This window comes from Homo sapiens, chromosome 1, assembly GCF_000001405.40.
Source record: "Homo sapiens chromosome 1, GRCh38.p14 Primary Assembly".
NCBI lineage: Eukaryota > Metazoa > Chordata > Mammalia > Primates > Hominidae > Homo > Homo sapiens.
Window position 1 is genome coordinate 25541639 of NC_000001.11, and position 23353 is coordinate 25564991.

General features: G+C 54.4%; 1 protein-coding gene across 16 annotated transcripts in view, besides 5 other annotated features; it reads left to right on the forward strand.

Annotated features, from left to right (window-relative positions):
* Positions 1638–1697: an enhancer, noted in NCBI's record as "active region_459". NCBI's record gives its function as "activates an Ori minimal core promoter by ATAC-STARR-seq in GM12878 lymphoblastoid cells {active_cell/tissue: GM12878}" and the evidence as "EXISTENCE:reporter gene assay evidence [ECO:0000049][PMID:35858748]".
* Positions 1798–2257: a silencer, noted in NCBI's record as "silent region_456". NCBI's record gives its function as "represses an Ori minimal core promoter by ATAC-STARR-seq in GM12878 lymphoblastoid cells {active_cell/tissue: GM12878}" and the evidence as "EXISTENCE:reporter gene assay evidence [ECO:0000049][PMID:35858748]".
* LDLRAP1 (low density lipoprotein receptor adaptor protein 1) overlaps positions 1968–23353 on the forward strand; it is a 46795-nt gene continuing 25409 nt past the window's right edge. For 10 of the 16 annotated variants that reach the window (XR_946603.4, XM_006710560.5, XM_006710561.5 and 7 more), the window contains exons 1-7: positions 1968–2148; positions 12284–12426; positions 13222–13334; positions 15515–15629; positions 21006–21078; positions 21432–21515; positions 22023–22153. Coding sequence is in view for 14 of the 16 variants with exons in the window: in XM_006710560.5 (XP_006710623.1) it covers positions 2061–2148; positions 12284–12426; positions 13222–13334; positions 15515–15629; positions 21006–21078; positions 21432–21515; positions 22023–22153 (747 nt within the window). In the remaining 2 variants the exon portion in view is untranslated. Of the gene's footprint in view, positions 2149–2312; positions 2704–8224; positions 8398–12283; positions 12427–13221; positions 13335–15514; positions 15630–21005; positions 21079–21431; positions 21516–22022; positions 22154–23353 lie in introns of those variants that run through there. The other 6 variants (XR_007058621.1, XM_047417497.1, XM_017000994.3 and 3 more) reach the window with 3 other exon arrangements.
* Positions 2288–2467: a silencer, noted in NCBI's record as "silent region_457". NCBI's record gives its function as "represses an Ori minimal core promoter by ATAC-STARR-seq in GM12878 lymphoblastoid cells {active_cell/tissue: GM12878}" and the evidence as "EXISTENCE:reporter gene assay evidence [ECO:0000049][PMID:35858748]".
* Positions 7861–8474: an enhancer, noted in NCBI's record as "H3K4me1 hESC enhancer chr1:25875990-25876603 (GRCh37/hg19 assembly coordinates)". NCBI's record gives its function as "activates a minimal SCP1, AML or CMV promoter by ChIP-STARR-seq in naive H9 embryonic stem cells {active_cell/tissue: H9 hESC(naive)}" and the evidence as "EXISTENCE:reporter gene assay evidence [ECO:0000049][PMID:30033119]".
* Positions 21606–22233: an enhancer, noted in NCBI's record as "H3K4me1 hESC enhancer chr1:25889735-25890362 (GRCh37/hg19 assembly coordinates)". NCBI's record gives its function as "activates a minimal SCP1, AML or CMV promoter by ChIP-STARR-seq in naive H9 embryonic stem cells {active_cell/tissue: H9 hESC(naive)}" and the evidence as "EXISTENCE:reporter gene assay evidence [ECO:0000049][PMID:30033119]".

A 23353-nucleotide genomic window follows, 5' to 3' on the forward strand; every position in this document is an offset into this window, starting at 1 on the left:
AAGCCTTCCTGGAGGAGGCAACTTTAAAGGTGGGTTCTCAAGAACAGGATTCAGCCATTCCAACTCCTGTTATTTAGTCCTTAAGGACAGCCCTGTGAAATAGATATAGTTGTCCCTTTTACAGATGAGGCTCAGAAGGGTGAGTTCACAACCACCAGAAGGACAGCTGGGTTCTAACCCCTGGCATTATACTCTACCCCATTGCCTATGGGCCTGAGTCTGATCCCAGTCTCTGACTCTCGGAGACTATCAGTGAATGCTTCCCTCCCTGACCTAGGGCTGTCATCTGTAAAGTGGGTCCACCTAAGCAGTGTTGCTGGGGAAGCCAAGGACAGACTGGCTAACAAAGCACTTGGTTTATAAACAGGGGAATGTCAGTGAGGCCGCCCTATCCAGCTGGGGACAGCACAGCACTATCTTTCTCCCGACACAGAGAGGACTGCTGGCTTCTGAGCCAGGAGTAATTACAGAGGTTGAAGTTGGCCTTGCCTGAGGCACCCCCTTCTAAAAGAAGCCAGGCTGTGGCTTGGATGTGTGTGTCCTCCCTCTGGCTCCTTTTGGCACAGTTTGAAAGGAAGGCATGGCATCCTAGAGAGTTAGAACAAATCCTTCCAATCCTGGAGTTAGAACATCTGTGCCTGAGCAATTCTGGGGTTCAGACTGCCCTCCGAATGCTCCTAGGAAGCAGCTTGGGGTCAGGGTCAAGGTCATGCAGATTCTTGACCCTGGCAGGTTGGAAGGATCACTAGAGATAGCATTGACTCTCATTCACAGATAAACAAGACTCAGAGAGGGGAAGTACTTGCCTGAGGTCACACAGCAAGTCAGTGTCAGGGGCACGTTCCAGATCATACCATCTGTGAGGCTACCTGGGAAGTTGCGGGGGCATGGGGTGGCCCAGCATGCTCAGGTGGTGCCAGGGAGCAGCCTGGGAGCTACGAGGATGAGTAAAGTGCCTGGCTGGACTTGCTAAAGGCAAATTTTTATATACCGACCCTGCGCCTAACAAGGGTCTATACTGCAAGCTTGTCCAACCTGTGGCCCACTGGCCATGTGAGGTCCAGGACGGCTTTGAATGGAGCCCAACACAAATTGGTAAAGGTTCTTAAAACATTATGAGATTTTTTTGGGCAGGGTGTGGTGGCTCACAGCCATCCCAGCACTTTGGGAGGCTGAGGCGGGCAGATCACTTGAGGTCAGGAGTTCGAGACCAGCCTGGCCAACATGGTAAAACTCCATCTCTATTAATAATACAAAAATTAGCCAGGCATGGTGGTGCATGCCTGTAATCCCAGCTACTCGGGAGGCTGAGGCATGAGAATAGCTTGAACCCGGGAGGTAGAGGTTGCAGTGACCCGAGATCGCACCACTGCACTCCAACCTGGGCAACAGAGTGAAACTCTGTCTCAGGGGAAAAAAAACAATACAGAAAAACAAAAAACATGAGTGTGTGTGTATATATATATATTTCAGCTCATCAGCTGTCGTTAGTGTTAGTGTATTTCATGTGTGGCCCAAGACACTTCTTCTTCCAATGTGGCCTAAGGAAGCCAAAAGTTTGGATATCCCTGGCTTACAGCCTCCACTATTTCCTAAGTCTCCCACTGCCCTGGACATCGCATTGCTTTTGTCCCTGAACAAGATCTTTCACCACTGGAGGAGCCCTCAGTCTCCCCATCTGTAAAATGGTCACTGGAAATCCTAGGCCGCTGCTCTCAGGCCCTCAGGCCCCTACGGGGTGGGGATTGGGGAAAAGGAGGAAAGCGGGGGCGTCTAGGGCTTGCGATTTGCTATCTTCTGGCGCCTTCGGGCGGCCTCGGAAACTCTTGGTGCCTGGACCTGGAGCCTGGACAGGGACCGGGCGGGGCGAGACCGGCCGTCGGGGGCGCGGCCCGTCTGGGGGCGGGGCCTGTCCTCTCTCGCCCCGCCCCGTCGGACGCCGCGGCGGAGCTGGCGCTGGGAGGGGAGGAGCGCGCAGCCCGCGCGCCGCAGGGCCGGGCGGAAAGTTTTTCCTGACGGAGTTTTGGCTGCGGCAGCGGCGGCGGCGGCCGGAGCGGGCCATGGACGCGCTCAAGTCGGCGGGGCGGGCGCTGATCCGGAGCCCCAGCTTGGCCAAGCAGAGCTGGGGGGGCGGTGGCCGGCACCGCAGTGAGTGTGCGCGCGTCAGCCGGGCCGGGCCGGGATCGGGCAGAGGCGCGCGGGGCCTCCGCGGGCGCCCGGAGTGCGGCCAAGTTGGGCAGAGGCGGGGCCTCACCGGCGCTCCGGTCCCGGCGTGGCCCTTTCCCGGCCCTGCGGGGCAGGGGGTCGGCCGGGGTCAAGTTGTGCACCTACTCGCCGGCCGCTCGATGCCGCTGCGAGGAGGGGCAGCGCTGAGGAAGGAGCCCGAGCTCGGGGTCCTCAGGTGCAGCCGGCATGGGGTGGGGTGCAGGTTGGGAGAAGAGGCCCCCGCCACCCGCGGCACCTCCCGCCCTGCTGTCCTGGCCAGCTAGGGGGAGGCAGGCGCTCGTCGTCGGTGCCTAGGGGAGGAGGAGAGGGCGCAGGGGCTTGGGAAGACGCCCCCGTCCCGCACCCCTGCGCCCCAGCCAGCAGCTGCGGCGGTCAGGAGCCCACTGGCCCGTTCTCCCGCCCCCTGCCCGACCCACCGGGCCAACTTTTGACTCCGGGTGCCCAGACACCCATCCAGGTGTGAGCCCGGGGTCGCAGGTACGTACTTGAAATTGGGAACGAGGCCCCGCCTGGGGTGCCTCGGGAGAGCCCCACATCAGGCGATCTAGACCCTTACGTCCCTTCCTCTAGCCGGGTCCAGGTGGCAAGCCTGGCGTCCCGACTATTTTTGAAACCTGTTTTCTCTCGCACCTTTCCCCTCGGGCTTCCAGAGTCCCTTGGGTGCCCAGGCAAACGACAGACTCGCCGCCACCTCTCCCTGGGGCGTCTGGGAGGCTGGGAGGGGCCTCCCCCCCTTTCTCTCCCCCAGTCTCTGATTACGCTCAGGGAACTTGTCACCTGGCACCTTCCCCTGAAGCCAGAAGACCCAGCCTAGCGCAGGTCTCGTTGTTTGGGAGGGAGAAGAGAGTGGCTTGCCTGGGGTCACACACACCTTCCTGCTGGTTTTGGAGCCAGAGCCCAGGACTGCTGCACACTCCCACCTCCCTGCCACCTACTTCGGGCCACAGCTTCTCCCCTCATCAGGAAACAACTGACAGTACAGCACCCCCTCATCCCATCCCCTCTTGGCCTTACAGGGCTCTGCCAGGGGAGCCCGAGCTCCCTGGTCCAAGGAGTGCCAGCGTGTCTGGGCCTAGAGGGCCCGCCTCCCTCCTCCTCTGGCCCCACTCTGTTGTTCAGCTGTGGCCGCCTCCCAGCTGAGACTGGCATTGGCATTGGGAATGTGGGGTGGTGCCTGCTGGTGGGGGGTGGGGTCAGAGACCCATTAGGGCTGGGCCACTAGGCCAGGGGATGTACCGTTTATCACACTGATTGCATCCCAAAATAGACCCTTTAAAAACTGGCAAGATTTGACCAGGACTTCTGAGATGGCCATCTGTTCCAGTGGGAGAATCCTGCGGGTTTTCTCCAGGAATGAGGGAGGGAGGGTGGTGGGGCAGCCCCCAGGGAAGTGGTTTTGAAGGAAGGGGGGCTGGCAAGGGAAGGGAGGCTAGAAAGAAATATCTCTGAATCTGGGGACGTGGAAGAGGTAGCCGCTTTGGATGTGGAAGAGAATTTCTCTTGCCATCTTCAATCTTGAGCAAGTCACTTGTCCTTTCTGATCCTCGGTTTCCTCATCTGCAACATGGGGATAAAAACTCTTACCTGGCAGGAGTATCAAGGAGATTATTGGTAATAATGCTCCCTCCTAACTGGTGGCTTTCTTCTCCCCTGCTCCTCTTCCCCCTGCCTATCCTTGGGACGCTGCCAGCATGATTAGTACTGTGGTGAGATGGGTTTTGGGGGCCCCGAGCCTGTCTGCACCTTTGGAGGAAAGGAGAGGAGCACCTCTCCCCCTCCTCCAGGCCCTGGTAAGCCCAAAGTGCTGTCCTGGAGCCTCTGGATCTGAAGGAGGGCAGGCCGAGCCCCACCTGTCCCTCGTGATGAAGTCTCAATTTCCTCACCTGTAAATTGCAAATAACAGTAGTACCTGCCTCCAGCTGTTTGTGGGGATCAAGTGGAATTGCGTTTGCCTGGCATAGAGGAGGAGTTTGGTAAATGGTAACTGCTGCTTTTGTAACTGTTTTACAACCTGTTTTTGCTTCCATTCTCTCATTGACTCCTGTGAGGTGACAGAGCAGACCCATTTTAGAGACAAAGGAACTGAGACTCTGAGCATTGGAGTCATTGGCTCCAGACACAGAGCATCTAAGAGGCAGAGCTCCACATTCCTAGCGCAGGGGTCTTACCAGTGTGCTTGGTGAACTCTGCCATGGGAGGAGCTGGGAGCAGGCCCCACCTACCCCACGCTGGGCTGGCAGCCTCTGACAGCAGTGGCCACAGGTTAGAGCAGGGGCCATGGGGTATGTGGGGGTGGGGGTGCTAGGGTCACCTTGCTCAGGGTTGTGACCCAGCCTGGCCTTGGACCTGGTCCCTGTGGTTGAGTTTTGAGGCCAAACTGAAGCCAGTGGAGTTAAAGTTAGACTCGAACCCTGCTCTCAGTTGTGACCTGCTCCTCCTCCTCAAGGTCCTCACTAGGATTAGCATGAGCATTGCTTATTTGTGGAGAAAGAAGCCCAGAGAAGGGCAGCACCTTGCCTGAGGTCACACAGCAAAGCCAGCACCCCAGGCTTCTTTCCACCCAGCTTCATGCCTGCAGTGGATTCCTGGTTGTCCTGACCTTGAAAGAGGGCTCTCTTCCTCTCCCACACATGGCTTTTCCTATCCCCTGGGGAGACATCAATATTTTATCTCAGTCCCTGGCCAGGCATTTTCCTTCCAGCTGCCTGGAAGAGGGGCTCACCTTGGCCCCTCAGCACTCTTTCCAGAGGTACTGGGATCATTCAGGCCCTCCGGTTATTTTGTGGGTTGTGCTTACCCAGAGAGAAGGGGTGAAGAAATAGGAGGTGCAGGTTCCAGTAAAGCTAGTTCATGGTGGAAGGCAAGGGAGGGAGGATATAATCATATTTATAATATTTATAATAAAGGATATTGCAAATGAATGTGGCCCAACACAAATTCATAAACTTTCTTATGGGTTTTTTTGTGATTTTTTTTTAAGCTCATCAGCTATCATTAGTATTAGTATATTTTATGTGTGGCCCAAGACAATTCTTCCAGTGTGGCCCAGGGAAGCCAAAAGATTGGACATCTGTGGCTTACAGTCTGGTGCACCACAACAAGGGTGTAGATCAGTGGTGTGGTTGTGGACATTGGTAGCAGGACAAATAAAAATAAAGCAGGGTGAGGAAATGATGGGACAGCTTTGTAAGATAGGATGGTGTCTTCATTTGGGTTCCTCTAGAGACAAGGATTGGAGTGCAAGTCATTTATTTGGGACAAGATGGCAGGAAATATTGTTAGGACAAGTGAGAAGGGAGGGGAGTCCACAAAGTGGGCATTATAAAGCAAATTACCAGCAGGGCGCGGTGGCTCATGCCTGTAATCCCAGCACTTTGGGAGACCAAGGTGGGCAGATCACCTGAGGTCAAGAGTTCGAGACCAGCCTGGCCAACATGATGAAACCCCATCTCTACTTAAAATATAAAAATTAGCTGGGTGGGGTGGTGCAGGCCTGTAATCCCAGCTACTTGGGAGGCTGAGGCAGGAGAATCGCTTGAACTTGGGAGGCAGAGGTTGCAGTGAGCCGGGATCACGCCACTGCACTCCAGCCTGGGGGACACAGTGAGACTTTGTCTCAAATAATAAATAAATAAATAAATAAATAAATAAATAAATAAATAAAGCAAATTACCACCAGGGACTCCTGGAGCTTAACCCCGCTGTGGGAACTGTGGGAGGCAGTGTAGAACGTGCTCTTCAGAGCCGTTCCACTGGAGGGGCAGTTCCCGGAAGCCCGGTGGAGAGGACTCCTGGGGTCGGGAGATCTTCATTCCCCAGTCTGCGCCAGCCTCAGCATCTCCAGCAGGCAGAGTGGCAGGTACTGGCAGTCAGCACAACATGGAAATGGTGTGCAGGGAGGATAAGGGCGGCCACTGACAGCACCAGGGAAGGTCCCTCTGAGAAGGTGACTCGGTACACACCGGTGAATCCCAGGAGGGAGGAGTCTGGGAACAGTGTTCCAGCTAGAGGGAACAGCAAGTGCAGGGAATGTTGAACTGGAGGCTAGGACTCTGCTTCTCCCGGGTCTGGGGGCTGTGTGAGGGGCATGTGGCTTGAAGGAGTCAGAGGTCACCCACTGCCCACTGAGGGTCAGATACTCTTTTTGAGCAGCCCTGCAGGGCTCTGCCTGACCCCAGCAAGGGGCTTGGGCTGCAGGAGGCAGGTATGGACTGAAGTCCCAGTGCTGTCAATTATGAGCCATGGTCAAACTCCTCTGAGCTTCTTTATCTGTGAAATGGGAACACTGATCTATCCTGGACTCTTCTCTCAATATGAGAATGGTCATGGACACGTTAAATCTCTTTGCATTTGACCACTGTAATGACAGTAGCTCACACTTGTGATACTTGGTATGTACCAGACAAGCTTCTAAGCTCACCTCGGGTGTGAACTCAGTTCATCCTCAAGACAACCCCATGGATGGATACTCTTTTTTTTTTTTTTTTTTTTTTTTTTTTTTAAGAGGGAGTCTCCTTCTGTTGCCCAGGCTGGAGTGCAGCAGTGGGATCTTGGCTCAGTGCAACCTCCACCTCCTTGGTTTAAGTGATTCTCCTGCCTCAGCCTCCCAAGTAGCTGGGATTACAGGCGCCTGCCACCACACACAGCTAATTTTTTTGTATTTTTAGTAGAGACAGTGTTTCACCATGTTGGCCAGGCTGTTCTGAACTCCTGACCTCAAGTGATCCACCTGCTTTGGCCACCCAGAGTGCTGGGATTACAGACATGAGCTACCACGCCTGGCTGAGGTGGATACTCCTATTGTCCCTGTTATTTATTTATTTATTTGAGACAAGGTCTCACTCTATTGCCCAGGCTGGAATGCAGTGATATGATCATAGCTTACTGCAGCCTCGACCTCCTGGGCTCAAGGGATCCTCCTGGGTAGCTAGAACTACAGGTGCACACTGCCACGCCCAGCTAATTATTTTTTGTAGAGACGAGGTCTTACCATGTTGTCCAGGCTGGTCTTGAACTCCTGGCCTCAAGCAATCCTTCCTTCTCAGCCTCCTAGCACACTGGAATTACAGGCATGAGCCACTGTGCCTGTCTTGTCCCTGTTTTAAAGTTAGGACACTGAGATCCAGGGAGGTTCAGTGACTATGAACTCCACAGCCCATAGCATATTTTTCTCTTACTGTGTAAGTAGGTACTTAGGAAATGGTAGCTGCTGCAATTTGTCATTTTAAAAATTATTTTCTTTTGATAACAATCTCAACAGCTTTGACTTCTGAAATTTTCCTAGTACTTTTCACGTCCAGAAACTTCTGGTGACGCTCCTGAGGGGATGAACCCATTTGTCAGATAGAATTACAGCCCAGAGAAGCAGCTACACTCCAGGTCAGGGCAGAGCTTGAGCCCTCTTCTGAGATGTTGTCACTCTGGCCTCTGAGGCCATCTCCCCACCAGGCTGGGGGAGGCTGGAGGCCAGAGCCCCGGTTGGAGGCTCCCCTGGCCCCTGGGTTTGGCTGCAGCTCTGATGTTGCAGACACACCAGCCAGGCAGGGTCTCTGGGAGCAGCAGAACGGGCACAAGGGCATTCAGCCCAGCTCTGACTCCCGGGTGGTTGGGGGACCTTAACAAGGAAAGAACACGTGTTCACAGCTGTAATTTAGACCTTAGACCAGGCATATGGTCTGTCCCCAGCTAACTCCAGCAGCAGGTCATCTGTAAAATTGCAACGTTAAAATAGCGCAGTCATTACCCACTACAGGGCCAAAAATAACTAGGACCGGAACAGGGCTGTGCACTCAGGCCTGTATTTGCCCAGGGGCCTCTGGGAGCACCTCCTGAAGCCGTGGGCTCCTCCCGGCAATAAGGCCTCCGGCTGTGGCTGGCGAGTAGGGCGGGTGGCGGGTGTGGCCCTGAGCCCTACCAATGGGCCTTCACTGAGAGCTCCCAGGTGCTGGTTTCTGTGGGGAGGGTGTGGGCATGAGGGGCCTTACGCTCTAGTGAAGACATGAGTCATGTGCACAGACCACAGGAGGGAAGCAGCTTCCTAGAGAGAAAGGAGCATCTCAGTGGGGCCTGGGAACATGGGGTACAAGGGAGAAACAGGACCAGACTGGACGGCCACATTGGGCAGGCGCACGCTTCCATGCCAGGTCCTGGGGAAGCAGACATGAATGGCAGGTACTTTAAAGGGAAGAGACGTGTAGGCAGTGCTTGGCAGTGGGTGGTGTGGCTGCAGGAGGAAGAAGAGATTTACAGTCAAGAAAGGCACCAACAGCCCGCCCACAGGAGGGATGAGGCCCCACTGGAAGGTGTACTGAGCAACTGCGATGGGCCTGCCTCTCTGCTAAATTCTATAAACTTATCCAAGGGTCACAACAGCCCCCAGGAGTCAGAGCTGTTGTTTCCCCCATTTTAAAGATGAAAAACTGAGGTTCAGGGAGGGTAATGAGCTCACTCAAGATGACTCAGACATGAAGCATTGGAGCTGATATCTTAGGATTAAGGCCTTGCTGTTAACCACGAGGCTATATTGCCTCAAAGGAGGCTTCCTGGAAGAGGTTGGATGTGTGGGGTTTGATCAAGTGAAGAAAGGGCATTTAGGATAGAGGGAACTACTTGAGCAAAGGCAAAGAAGTTAGACAGTAAATATTACATTATTAGGAAGAAGCTCTGCATGGTTGGAGCTTCTTGGGGTAGGGGGTATGTAGGGATATTGTGGGAGAAGAGACGGGGAAACTTAAAATTCCCTCACAGTCACTGGTCATTGTGGGGATTGTCTATAGTGGACTGGGTGGGGTGAGGAGAGTCCCTCTGACTTGCCATGTTACCTTGCACAGGTCCCATCCCTGTCTGGGCTTCAGTTGTATCATCAAGTGAGGGGCTTGAGCTGAGGGCCTAAGGCTGATGAGTGGCAACCAGTCTGTAAGGACGTGGTTAGAGGAGGGGAAGGGTCAGGCCAGGGAAGGAGGAATGCAGAAAAATGCTGAACATTTCAGGGGTCAGGGAGGACTAGGGAATGTTTTGACAGCAGAGAGATCACCAGTGACCTTGGCAGGCTTTGGTTCTTTGGAATGGAGGGAGCGGAAGTGACTTTGGAAAGGGGCCAGGAAAGGGCTGAACCAGAGGAAATGGGAGAATGGGGACATGAAAATGGGGGCTGGAGAGGGAGAGTGGAGAATGTTTGCCAGGGGTAGGGATGGATAATGAGATGTTCAAACCTTGATCAATTAGTATTGCTTGCCTGGGGCCTTGTGCTGAGAAAGGATCAGAGGGAAGTAGAGCTGCAATTGATTATCAATGTCTGCCAAGGGTGCGGGTCATAGGCACAGTAGCACTTCTTTCCATTGCTGTCCTTGCTTAGATGGGTCTCAGGTTGAAATTGGTGGCCTGGGTATCCTAGCCTGCAGAGGGGAAGCCTTAGGTATTAGGAATACCTAATTCCAGGTGAGAAGAAATGCCTCCGCCTCCAAAAACCTGATCTTTTGCTAGAATTAAGGTAGTTTGCTGCATGATAAAGTAGTATGGTCTCATGGTCAGGAGCTTGGGCTTTAGAGTCAGTCCTTTGAGTCTCAGTTTCCTCTCTGTAAAATGGGAATGAGAGAATGCCTGCTTGCAAGGTGGCTGTGAGTGTTAGAGGTGATGGTAATAGCTATGGCTTTATTATTGTTGCATCTTTGTTATATGAAAGCGCTGTTTTTCCCTGATGATGGTGCTGTTATTCTGAACTTGAGAGCAGGGTCTGTGTCTGAGTTGCTCCAGGGCCCCATCACTCAACCCAGGACTGGGGACATCTCAGGGACTTTCACATTCTTTTGGAGGATCAAATGGAATAGGCTTGTGGTTGATGGGACAGAGGATAAGGTCATGTTGGGCTTTGGGGTCATCTCAGTGGAGACCTGGCCTCATGTTGGGGTGGAGGCCCAGGGATGAGATCTAGGGCTGGAGGGTCACTGGGCCTGGGGCCAGGGCTGGGGATGGGATGGGGTTGTCCTCGTCATTTCTTCCTTGAGCGAGTATTGAGCGCTACCTGCATGCCAGGTTCTAGATGACAGTCAGTAAGTCCCTGCTCACCTGATCTCAAGACATGAGGGGAACTGGGTACATCTGTAAGTTCCTGTATAACCCTCCCCAGCCCTGACACCCGCACCCTCTTTCAGATGAAGAAATGGCCTCAGAGAGGGACAGTGGCTTGCTCAAGGCAAATCCAGAGAAATGTGGGTGTACAAGGCTCCTTCTGGCTGTGGAGAGGGGGACCAGAGCCCCTGGAGGCCCAGGGCTCTAGGATAGGAGCTGAGAGGGGCAGCAGGGATCCAGACTGGGTAGGGGACCTGGTGATGCCACCTGGACCCAGACTTCTGCTCTTGACAGAGCCGGAACTCCAGAACCAAGCTGAGCCTTGTAGTAGGGGCCCACATCCCTGCCAGAGCCTCAGCTGCCCTGGAACTAGCAATACCCAAACTTTCTTCCTGTGGCTTTTCAATCAGAGCCAGTGAGGAAGGCCTCAGGAGGAGGTAGGGAGGGCCCAGGACATCTCCCAGCCCCTCCCTGGGGGATGGTCTAGGGAAGCTGGCCCTGGCTACCTCTCGTGGCCCCTGGAAGCTGATTCCTGGCTGGATCCTGCTCTGTCCTCAACAAGATTGTGTGTGAGGCTGAAGAGCAGTTTTCTTTCTCATCTGTAAAATGGTGCAGTCATAACAAACACCTCCTACAAGCACAGCATCTGTGAGGGTTTCCTCTCTGTAAAATGGGACAGAGAGGTAGGGGACAGGAAGGGGCTCTGGCAGGTGGAAGTGTGAGGTGTTCATTCATCTTTCTTCATGTCCTCCTTCCGAGGAGCCGGGGATGGTCAGAAACTGTCAGTGCAGCCTGCTTTTGCCCTCATGCCCATTTGCCTCCACGGGGCCCTCACCTACGTGGTGGGGCGCTCTTTCCACGTGTCCCTCCTGGTCCATTTGCCCACCCAGTGAGGCAGGCTCATCCCCTTATTTCCTGACATTTGTGTGGTTGGTGCTTTTAGAGAACTCTCCTTGTGGACTCTGTTCTGCACCATTGTCACAGCCCAGAGAGGGGGGAATGTTAGTCCCAAAGAGGAGAGGGGACTTCCCTAGGACCATCCAGGGGGTGGGAAGCAGAGTGGGTCTCGAACCTTCTCCGATTTGGGAAATCGCCTTCTCCTCTCCCCACCCACCCTTACCCTTCCCTGCTCTCCCTGGGCTACTGTCTCCTGCCCAGCCTCCCACATGCCCCTGTTGGTCTCTACGGATGCGCACAGGGAGGAAAGCAGTGCAGGCTGGGGCCATGGGAACCGCTCAGGGTTGAAGTCCGACTCATTGTATGTGGCCTTCATCTCATGACTTTGCCTCCCTGAGCCTCAGTCTCCTAATCTGTAGAATCATTGTCTCACAGGATTGCACTAAGGATTCAGTAAGAAATGGTATGATTTGCCCTCAGCAAGTGGTAGCATTGAAGTAAAGAGGGCTCAGGGCTTGAAAATAGGGCTCGAAACTTGGCTCTTGCACTTCCTGGCTCTCTGGACTTGGTTATGTGATTGAGCCTCCATGGCCTCCGTGTCTTTGTCTGTCAATGGGTTTGATTAAAGCGTTGACCTCATAGGTTCTTAGGAGGATTAATGAGAACATTTTATGTAAAGCTGCTTACATGGAGCCTTGGTATGTGCCGGAAAGCTTTAGCCCTTTATTAAAAGTGACAGCAGACCCAGCACGGTGGCTCATGCCTGTAATCCCAGCACTTTGGGAGGCTGAGGCGGGCAGATCACTTGGGGTCAGGAGTTCGAGACCAGCTACTCGGGAGGCAGAGGCAGGAGAATCGCTTGAACCTGGGGTGCAGAGGTTGCAGTAAGCTGAGCTCGCACCACTGCACTCCAGCCTGAGTGACAGAGTGAAACTCAGTCTCAAAAAAAAAAAAAAAAAAAGAGTGGCAGTAGTGGTGGGGGAGACCCCCATCCCCCTTGCTGGGGTTTCCTAGGAAAGAAGGCTGGTGAGAGCTGTTGCTGGTGGTGGGCCCTGAGCCGCAGGGTCTGAGGGCCTACCCTGTGCTACCCCAGAGCTGCCTGAGAACTGGACAGACACGCGGGAGACGCTGCTGGAGGGGATGCTGTTCAGCCTCAAGTACCTGGGCATGACGCTAGTGGAGCAGCCCAAGGGTGAGGAGCTGTCGGCCGCCGCCATCAAGAGGATCGTGGCTACAGTGAGCACCCCAGTCAGGAAGGGTGGGGGAACCAGGGACCAAGGACCAGCTTCTTCCCAGGGTGCCCTCGTCCCAGCTTGTTACTCCAGTTGGGTGTGTCTGAGCCTGGCCCTGCCCTTCATTCTCCTTCCATCCAGCTTTTGGGCCTTGGCAGAGGGGAACCATTGGACTTGCAAGGTCACGGTTAGTGGCTTCCCTCCAGCCATTATGGCCTCTTCCAGCCTCCCCACCCCCAGCTCAGGCTCCCTACCAATGCATTGGTGACTTATCAGCACCAGGAAGGGTGGGGAGTTTGCTTTCCCTTGACTACCTGCCCAATGGCCTGAGAGACAGCATAGCCCATCAGAGAGCAGATTGCCCCCTCCCTAACTTTGAGCAAGGGTGGGCCTTTTAAATCCACTTCCCTTGGTGGCCTCAGACCCCTCAGCTCAATGGATGGAGCAGAGTACTCAGGAGTCATCCTGCTGGGTTGTGCTAGCTCATTCAGTGCCGAGTCTGCAGGCCCTTCTAGCTGTGTGTCCTTGGGTAAGTCCCTTAGCCTCTCTGAGTCCATCTCTGGGGAGAGGGAGGATGACTCCAGGTCCACGGTGCCTGACAGATAGCTGGTGCTCAGCAGATGCTGCTCCTGTTTCTATTGCAAGAAGGTGCTGGCTGAGTGGTCTTGCCCACACTGCTGCCAGTCACCTGAGCTGAGATGGGCCCCGTGCCTGGGGCTTAGGAACAGTGAAGTGTAAGCCATGAGGGTGGGTCTCAAGTGAGGCTGGCAGACTCCTCTGACTCCTGTCTGCTCCCAAGGCTAAGGCCAGTGGGAAGAAGCTGCAGAAGGTGACTCTGAAGGTGTCGCCACGGGGAATTATCCTGACAGACAACCTCACCAACCAGCTCATTGAGAACGTGTCCATATACAGGTACGCTCAGCATGGGGTTGGCCCATCCACTCTGCCACTTGGGGCAGTGGGTGGAGTATCCCATCTGAATCCAGGCTCTACCACTTCCTACCTGGGTGACATTGGAGCCTCAGTTTCCTCATCTGTAAAATGGGGGTGGGAACAGATCCTGCTGCACAGCGCTGTTAGGAAACGTGGAGTGCACGGCACCTGGCTCATGATGAGCATTTGGTTAAGTGGCAGCTGCTGCTGTCATCATCACCAGTTGCAGAAGACAGCTGAGCCCACCCGTGCCCTTCCCCCCTACTCCCCACCAGCATGCCGCTGAGTCGGGCTTGGAGCAGAGAACTGCAGAGTCACTGCCTTTTCCTTCTGCTGTGAATGCAGCAGCTCAGCTCTGGGTATCTGGCCAGACATTCCAGGGAGGCCTCAGCCAAGGTCTGAAGTCAGAGTATAGATGGTCTCTCTAGTGGGTCCTCTGGTCAGCCCTTAGAGCCTCAGACTATCCCCACCTCTCTCGGCTGGTCAGTTGTAGTTTTTCAGAACTGGAAGGGACAGCTCAGGTCCATTTTACAGATGGAGAAGCTGAGGCCCAGAGAGGGAATTGCCTAAGGCTGCACAGTGAGGTAGTAGCTAAACTGGAACTAGGATATCCGGGCCAGAGCCCTGTCCAGCAGGCTCCCGTCTGCCTGGCATCCCTCCACCCTCTTGCTTTGTCTCTAAGCAGATGGCTCAGCCCGTTGGTGCACAGGCCAGTAGTAGGGTCAGTAGATGTGTGTTGTGGGGGTCTGGCTGATGTCTTCCTCTCACCGGCCTGATCATACCTGCCTTCCTTTAGTCAACAGTTTCAGATACCTATTCTGCCAACGTCTGTGCCAGATGAGGACTCCAATCCTGCTCATTGCCCTCAAGGAGCTTCCACTCTAGTTGGGTATAGTCGGGAGGAAACAGGAGATAGAGCATAGTGTTCCAAAAAGGCAAGGAGGAGATCTGCCTGGGGAAATCCCGGAAGGCCTCCCAGGGGAGGCGGCACCTTGCTGGGGCTTGAAGAATAATAGGATCTAGTTTGTTGTTACCAAGGACCCAGTAACATTTAGAGCAGGAAGCTGGACCCCCTGGGATGGAGAAGAGGTAGGCAGGGACCTAACACCTTCACGCTCTGCCCACCGGGGTGTTGATGCCTGTGATTGAAGCTGGGGCCACATGGTTGAGGGGTGAGTCTATGGCGCTCCTGTCCCACCTCTGGGTTGAGGGGTGAGTCTGTGGTGCTCCTGCCCCACCTCTGGGCTACCGGCCCCTCCCCGATTGAGACTCTGAGGCTGACTGGAGGCAACGAGGAGGGACCAGACAAGTGAGGGAGGGTGGGAGGCCGAGGGCTCGGGTGGCCCCTAGGTTACAGGTGCGACTGGGGGCAGAGAGGGTGCTCCATGCAGAGGGAGTTGCTGTGTGTCTCCTCCCGGGCCCACTGGGGCTCCTTGTTGGGTCCTCGTCACACACGCACCCCACCCCTACTCCCAGCTCTTCACCCCTGGCCACAGCTCCAGAACTTGCAAGTGTCCCAGTCACCCTGAGAGAGATGGACCTGAATCTCACCAGACCTCTGGGCAGGGGCATGGATCGGAGGGCAGGTGGGGTGGGGGAGGCCAGGTGAAGGGCATTGGTGAGCAGGGGAGTGTCCTGCTTTCTGCTTCCCCTTCTGGCCAGTTGGCACACAGCCTTAAGAGGCAGCATGGCAGTCATGGCCTCTGGAGTCCTACAAGTGAGTTCAGGTCTGGGCTCAGGTCTTTAGCCTCAGTTTACTTCATCTGAAAAACATGGATAGTGATAGAACCCGTCTCAGAGGGTAGCTTTGAGAATCACATGAGGTGAGGTCTAGAAAGCTCTTGGCACATTGCCTGGTATGTGGTAAGGGTTCAGCTATTACTGTTTTGGGGTGTGGCTCAGTGTGGGATGGGAGGGAGAGGGGGAAGTGCCCTGCTTCCAGTCTTTACCCCATTCCTTCCTTCCTGCCTGGCCTGGGCCCCTCCTGCACAGATGGCCTAGGTACCCAGCCTGGAGGCCAAGGCTGGATTCCCAGAGTCTGCCCTGGTGGAGTGGGAATAGCAGGTTCTCTGCAACTCAGGGGAGCTGCCCTGCAGGGCTTCCCACATGTGCTCAGGCCCCTGTGCCAGGTCTGGTGATGCTTCCTCCTTGCCTTTCAGGATCTCCTATTGCACAGCAGACAAGATGCACGACAAGGTGTTTGCATACATCGCCCAGAGCCAGCACAACCAGAGCCTCGAGTGCCACGCCTTCCTCTGCACCAAGCGGAAGATGGTCAGCGGGGAGGGCTGGGGCGGGGACAGGGTCCAGTGGCCTTGGCAGCCTTGCTCTGGGTGGGGGGCTGTCTGGTGTGGGAGGCAGGACCCAAAGGTGACCATTACTTAAGAAGAGGGTGAAATCTCTGGGAACCCCAAGTGGGTGCCGAGAGCTAAGGGGTACAGTGGTGGGGCTGCAGGCAGGCAGGTGAACCGCCGGTCAGCTTTGTGTGGGCAGTAGCTGGCCCATGTCCCCAGTGTGTGTCTGGGCCTGTTCTCTCTGTAACGGGATTTGCTGGGTTGAGATTGTTTTGGATCTCCTGTCTTTAATATGGTCTAGGGATGCAGGGCCTTCTGGTGATTGGTCCTCGGAAATGGGAGATCAGGGGGGCCTAGGGTGGAAGGCAAAGGCGAGAGCCGTCAGAGAACCAGGCTTGCTGTGACTGGAGTGTGGAGGGCAATGGCTGTTTCTTGGTGCCTCCTGTGAGTTCATTCCAGCTGTGACCAGAGTGTGGAGGACAGTGACCGTCTCTCGGTGCCTCCTGTGTGTGCATTCTAGTGCTAGGCTTCCAGGTCTTCACTCGTTTAATTCTCACGGCTCTGCAAGGTGGCAACTGTTACTCTCTCCATTTTTTTTTCTTCTTTTTTTTAAAGTTTTAATGAGGAAACAGACTCCCAGAGGCCAGCTATCTTGCTGTCAGGGTTAGAGTGGGGGTTTAAACCCACGTTTCTTCCCCTCCCTGCGTGACTGGGGAGTTCAGAGCTCCTTGTCTCATTTCCAGGACACCCCCTGACCACATCTTAGCTGGGATGAGTGGGAACCTTGGTGGTCACGGGGGATTTGTCCTGAATTTGGGGGCAAGAAGTGGAGTGGGTCAACCTTTGGCATTGCAGCTTTTGTTTCTGAGACCCCCAGGATCTGAGCATTCTCCCTATAAGGTGCTTCCTGACATCCATTGATGTAGCATTGACACCTGTTAACCTCTGTTGACAGCTCTGAGCCCCAGTCCCCATGCCCTATAGCCCTTGGAACCTAGGAGACAAGATCCCCTTCCCTCCCCTGTCATCAAAGGACATGTCAGGTACATCACAGTCTTTGTGGTCCCCAGGCTTCCTGCTGCCCATCAGGACACACTTTAGATATTGTGTAAGTTGTAACAAATGATCGCAAATTTAGTGGCTTAAAACACAAATGTATTCTCTTATGGAGAAGAAAAATGTATTCTGTGACAGAAGTAGATCAGGAGTCTAAACTAGGTCGGCAGGATTGTGTTTTTTTCTGGAGGTTCTGGGGGGAATCCATTTCCTTACCTTTTCTACCTCCCAGAGACTGATCACCTGCATTTCCAGGTTTGTGGGCCTGTCCTCATCTTCCGAGCCAGCAATGTAGCATCTTCTGGTCTCCTGATTTCATCGTCACATTGCTGCTTTTAGCTCTGACTCTCCTACCCCGCTCAGCACTCCTTCTGATGACATTTGGACACTCTGAGTAATCTGGGATAATCTCCATCGCCACATCCTTAACTCACTTCTGTAAAGCCCGTTTGCTGTGTAAGGCAGCATTCACGGGTCTCAGGGATTAGGATGTGGACATCTTGGGGGCGGACACACGATTCAGCCCACCACAGGTGTCATGGAAGAGGCACTGTAGGAGGAGACAGTCTAGCGGTCTCCTGGCTGATTTGCTGTGTTACCTTGGAGAAGATCCTGCCTTTCTCTGGGCTGCTTGCCTATCAGCAGAATGAGAAGGTTGCCTCAGTGACCTCCAGGGTTGTTCTGAAAGGCCCCGGGTTCTTTTGAACACCTTGTTTCTTTCCTGCAGACTCAGTGTCACTGGCCACTTGCCTCGTGAGGTCCCAGGGCTCCAAGTTGCTGTGGCATCTCCTGTGAGTTCCCACAGATGTGACTCGTGGCTTTGTCTTTTAGGAGGCCACACAGACTTAAAAATACAGCTCCTTATGTCCCCATTGTTCATCTCTTCCTGCCCGCTGACCAGGGCAGGCCCTGGGCAGGGACAGCTGGCCCTGGGTGGGAGGGGCCTTCGACGGTGCAGAGGCTTCCTCTGGGATGAGGGGTCTGGGAGTAAGAGAGAGGTGCAGGCCCAGCTCTTACAAGGGAGACCTGGCCTGTGGTCAGAGAACTTCACACAGACTTGAGTGAAATCAGCCTACCCTCAGGCCATGAGGTCAGTTACGAGGAAAACAGAGCCAGGCCGCTGCTCAGCCACTGACTGCAGAGCCCTGACCAGGCAGCAGAAGGGCCCCTGCCAGACACCCAAACTCTTCATCTTTCTTAGTGTATTCTTCTCAGGTTGGGTTGATGGCTGGAGTGGTTTATCCATCTCCCTACCCTTTGCTACCTGGCCTCCCTGCTTCAGGGGCCCTGCGGAGCCCTCTCCAAGACAGCGCAGCCCAGCATGGTGTAAATACATCACCTGCTACCTCAAGGTCTTAGCCCAACCCAGGCTGACAGTGTGTTGGTGGCCTAGACATGTTGGAAATCCTAGATTCTTGGGCTAAGTGGAAGTGTTCTTGGGGGAGGCAGGAGATGGAATAGCTGCGTCAGCCTCCGCACCTGCTGGCAGCTCCGCCACAGAGGTTTGGCACCGTCTGTCCTGGCCTGAGCCATGGAGAAAACATCCAAGGCGGTAGAGAACAGCCCAGCATCAGTACCTGGAACCCAGGGGGGCTTAGTTCTGGGGTGGTAGTAAATCTCACTAACTTCCCTGAAGTTAGAGTCAGTGAGACTTCCCTGAGACAGACACCTTGAATGGGGCTTTGAAGGCTGAGGAGCCAGGAGGAGTTTGCCAGGCCGAGAGAAGGGGGTGGGGTGGTGGGTGGGGAGTGCACACCAGCATGGGATTAACACACGTGCAAACGCAGAGGGGCGAAGTGAAATGGTTCCCCTGGGGTGGGTGGTGAGGCAGCTTCCGTTTGCAGTGGGCCTTGAATCAGGATGTTGAGGGCCTTGAATCAGGATGTTGAGGGCCTTGAATCGGGATGTTGACAAAACGTCAGTCATTGTGGCTGGGGGCCTCCACATCCCTACTCTTCCTGGCTGGGCTGCCGGAATGAGTTCATGACCCATTGAGGTTGGGGGAGAAAGGCTCCTTTCTACATCACCCACCAGTCCGTTCAACTCTGGGGCAGCACAGCCACCCCAGGTCTCCCCTCCCTGGTGCTGCTGGGCACAGCCAGCATAGGGTTCCTCCAGGGAATCCCTTCCATCTGCCCAACCGGGAGGCCTCTGGGCTCCAAAGTGAAGGTGTCATGCAGGTGCTGGGCCTGGGCTGATGGTAAGCAAAGTGCTACCCCCATTTCCACCCAGGCAGCACGGGGCCAGGCTGCTCCCTCCCCCATGACCATTGGCATCTTGGAGTGATCCTTGTGCAAGGTTTTTGCTTCTGGGGCAGCAGGGCTGCTGGGGGGCATGTGGCTGTCTTGGTTTGAGTTTCTGGCCCCTTTTGAGCCATGAGCAGCCTGGTTCCTGGGAACAAGGAATGTGAAAAACTGGGCAAGGTAGCATCCACTCAGGATAATAAGGCAGACCCGAAGGCCAGAGGCAGTCAGGAGGGGTGGGCATCCCGCCTGGGCAGGCCTGAGCAGTCCCTCCACCTAATGCTGGTCCTCGGATCCCTGCAGCCACCCCAGGAAGCAGGGCCCACCCCACTCCCAGTCCCTGCCCAGCCTGGGCTTGCAGCTACCTGCACACATCCACCTCTTGGGTTGTATTCAGTTTAACTTACAGCTTGGGACTTCAGGGCAAAAAGGTAGGAATGTATGCAAGTGAACAATCAGATTTATGCAACTACAGTCTAAGCTTGTGTCTCCAGATTTCCAGCAGGCTTAAATAATGGCGTTTTCATATCCCTGCCACATTGGGTGTCCAGCCCTTGCTTGGGTGGATAGTGATCTGACTTGGGCTGGTAATTAGCCCATATTTTTAGTTCATGGGCAATTCTCAATGGTAACTGGGTCTATTAAACTTGATTCAGATATGACAGCTTAAATTGTAAACAGCTGCGAAGAGTTTCATACTTAATTACCATATTTAAGTTTTGCCATAAAGTGCCTGTACTTCCATCAAAAATGTAAATGTTGGAGACATTCAAATGAGGTTTTATACTTTCGTGAAGTGTAATTGGCACGGATCAGTCAGTTTGTTTAGGAATTTTAAATATTTTTTTAAAAGGAGTTTTAAAGGCAGTGGCCACAGGTCCATTTCTCAATTAAATTGAGTTGTCTGGGGGAGGGCAGGGAGCGGGGCTGAGGCTGGTGAGGCCTGAACTTGTAGACTTGAAAGAGGCTGGTGCTTTCTTCTCTCAGCCAGGGCTTCAGAAGGAAGCTAGATGTTTCCGGCTATAGCTACGAACTCTGGGACTTCCACTCCCAGAAGCTGAGCTGATTAACCCTGGACTGGAATGGCTGAGAGAGGAAGGTGTTGAGATGAATATGGGCTGGGGATAGGTCCTGGGTGGAATGAGGCCTGCACCTCAGGTGAATGTAATTCACCCAGCATTGTTGCCACCTCTGGGAGGCTTTGGCCTGCTCCCGAGGGCAGGGGTGTTCAGATTGATTCTTGCTTTTAGGGTGCACAAAGCTGGGGGAAACACAGGCAGGGGAGCCAGTGACACTTTCACATGCATAGTGCCAGAGGGAGGTGGGTGGGGCTCGAGGAGTCTGGGACTGGTGACAGGAGAGGTGGTGACATCTGAGTTGGGTTTGGAGGGGTGAGGGAGAGTTCCCCTGGGGTGAAGGGCCGAGGTGTGGCCCTTCCTTACAGGTGGGTTATAGCACTGACCGGTTTTGGTCCCCGGGCCTTCATTGACATCTTGCTCCTATCAGGAAATTGACAAGCCTTCTACTCTCTTTGTGGGATCCAGTTATGGTCCCAACCGGAACCTAACTTTCACCTCTCTGGCTGTGGCTCATTTGGGGCAATGGCTGGGCCCTTCCAATTCTGGCTTTTCTGTTCTCCAATTCCAAGGGCTAAGTCCACAGGTAATTAGGGAGGGTTTCTTGGAGGAAGTAAGCCTCACAGTTCATTGAATTCAGGGAAGCCCAAAGGGGAAGGAAAAGACCTGGAGAAGAACAGCCTTTGCAGGCAGGGGCCCTAGAGTGAGAGTGAGAACTTTGGTGGGGCCAGAGATAGTAAAGATGGGGACTCTACTGCCTCTGCGAGGCTATGGCCTTATGACACCCCAGGCTGCTTTGGAGACCTGGGAAGGGCCAGGACCCTGCTCTGCCCAGCAGGCATTCCAGAGCCTGGGATGGAGCTGCAGAAGCTGCAGGGAGGGAGCCAGGGGGCCTGGCCTGGAGGCCCCAGCCCTCCAGTGCAGACTTGCTCTGCCCTGGCTGACACTGCACCCCTCCCCATCCCCACTTCCTGTTTTCAGGCACAGGCTGTTACCCTCACCGTAGCCCAGGCCTTCAAAGTCGCCTTTGAGTTTTGGCAGGTGTCCAAGGAAGGTGAGACTTTGCATCTACATTGTGGGTGTGGTGGGAGGTGGGGAGACACATAAAGGCCCTGGGGTCAGACCTGGACCGACTTCCTGCCTCATCACCCACCTGGCTTGTGACTGTGAGCAGGTCCCTTCACCGCTCAGAGTCTCGGTTTTCCCATCTGAAAAATGGGAACAGCCGTCTCCCTCCCCAAAGGTGCTTGTGAGGATTAACTGACATCCGAAAGGTTTCTTTCCTCCCGGCTGGAAACCTGAAACTGCCCCTTGAGGTTGGCCACCGCTAATCACCCCTGCCCGGTGATTGCTGGGGACAGAGTGCTGGGGTCTGAGGCTCCAACATGTTGTGCCTTGGTCCTGCAGAGAAAGAGAAGAGGGACAAAGCCAGCCAAGAGGGAGGGGACGTCCTGGGGGCCCGCCAAGACTGCACCCCCTCCTTGAAGAGCTGTGAGTCCTGACGGGGAAGGGGGATTGGCCATGCGGTGTTGGGGTTGCGCTTCACCCAGGGGGGTCCCACTCCTGCCTGGGCTGGGAGAGCCTCTTGGTTTTTCACTTGTGTTTTGTTAAATAAATAATACACGTTCATTACAGATCAATTAGAAAATGTAGATAAGGGGAAGAAATAACTCATTTTAGTACATTTTCTTCTAGATATGTCCCTATGCAAATATATAAATATGCGTCTATCTTTCTATATACTTAACATAGTATTGTGTGGTTGCTTAAGAAAACTTAACTATTGTGAATACAAAAGTTTCAGTCTAAGCCATTAGTCAGGTTCTCACTCTGTGGGCAGCTGCGCATCTGCTGTGGGGAGGTGCCAGGGCCGGGCTCTGCTGGGAGGCCTGGGCAAGGCCACATCAGAGGGGAGGGTCAGGGCCAGGACAGCCCAGGGAGGGGGCCAGGAAGGAAGAGGCTGATCTCCCACTGACAACCTGACCGGATCCCTCACAGTGGTCGCCACTGGGAACCTGCTGGACTTAGAGGAGACAGCTAAGGCCCCGCTGTCCACGGTCAGCGCCAACACCACCAACATGGACGAGGTGCCGCGGCCACAAGCCTTGAGTGGCAGCAGTGTTGTCTGGGTGAGTGGTTGTGTGGCCAGCAGATCGGTGATCCTCAGCCTGACCTCTGGGTGAGCCTGGGGCTGCTCCAGGGACCAGGCCCTGGGACCCGTGACTTGTGGGCCTCTGGGAGGACCAGACCCAGCCCGGTAGTGCCCAGGCGCAGGATAGGGGATGAACAATGTCCCTTTTGAACCTGAGGCTGCATCCCCAACAGGCTTGGCTCCCAGCACAGCTGTCTCCTCACAATGCTTGGCCTCTTGGCCTGAGCGTCCACGGCTCTGCCCACCACAAGACCAGCCAAAGGCGCCCTTGTTCTTGGTGTGGCAGAGCTCGCTCCTACCACCCCTCCCCCTCAGCCGCCTGAATGAGGACCCAGAGACTTGGGCAGTCACCAGCTTGGTCCCTGACTCCCTCAGGGACTCAGGGCAAGCCCCCTGACCTCTCTGTCTCAGCTTTTTCATCTCAGTAAGGGTGATGACCTCTGCCAACGGAATCTCCCCGAGGAACCTGAAATTTAATTTTAATTTTTCATTTGGAAATAATTTCAGACTGTGTTACAAAATTAGTACAGAGAATTCCTGTTCACCCGTCATCCAGATTCCCCAATTGTTAACATCTTGCATGACCACATTACACTGGTCAGAATCAGGAAACAAACACGATACTGTGCTGTTATATAATCTATAGAACTTACACATTTCTCCAGGTGCCCCTTCAGTGTCCTGTTTCTGGCCCAGGATCCATTGCAGAATCACATGTTAACTTGTCGTCTCTTTAATTTTTAAAAATCTGGGTACTGGGGGCTCCCCTGGTGTCCCTCGAGCCTGTTCTCTGCTGTTTGGGAACCACCCTTGCCACTTGCCCATCCTCACCAGAAGGCCATGGAGGGACCTCACCTGTCGCTTTTCTGCTGAGGCTGTGGGACTCCTGGCATCAGTTATCCCTCATGAACTTGGAATTTTGGCTTGGCTTTTGGAAGTAAATGAAGGCAAGAAAACTCCCTTCCCCACCCTCTTCCTTTTGGAATTTGAAAGCCATAGAAGTCATCAGGTCCAATGCCCTCCTCTTATTGAAGGAAAAGCTGAGTTTCAACGTGGAGCAGTGACTTGCCCAAGGTCTCACGGGCAGGTAGCATGGACCAGGGCACTGAACCCACCTGGGTCTCCAGACACCCTGGGACATGGCCTTTCTCCTCTCCCACGTCTCCAGCTTTGGGTC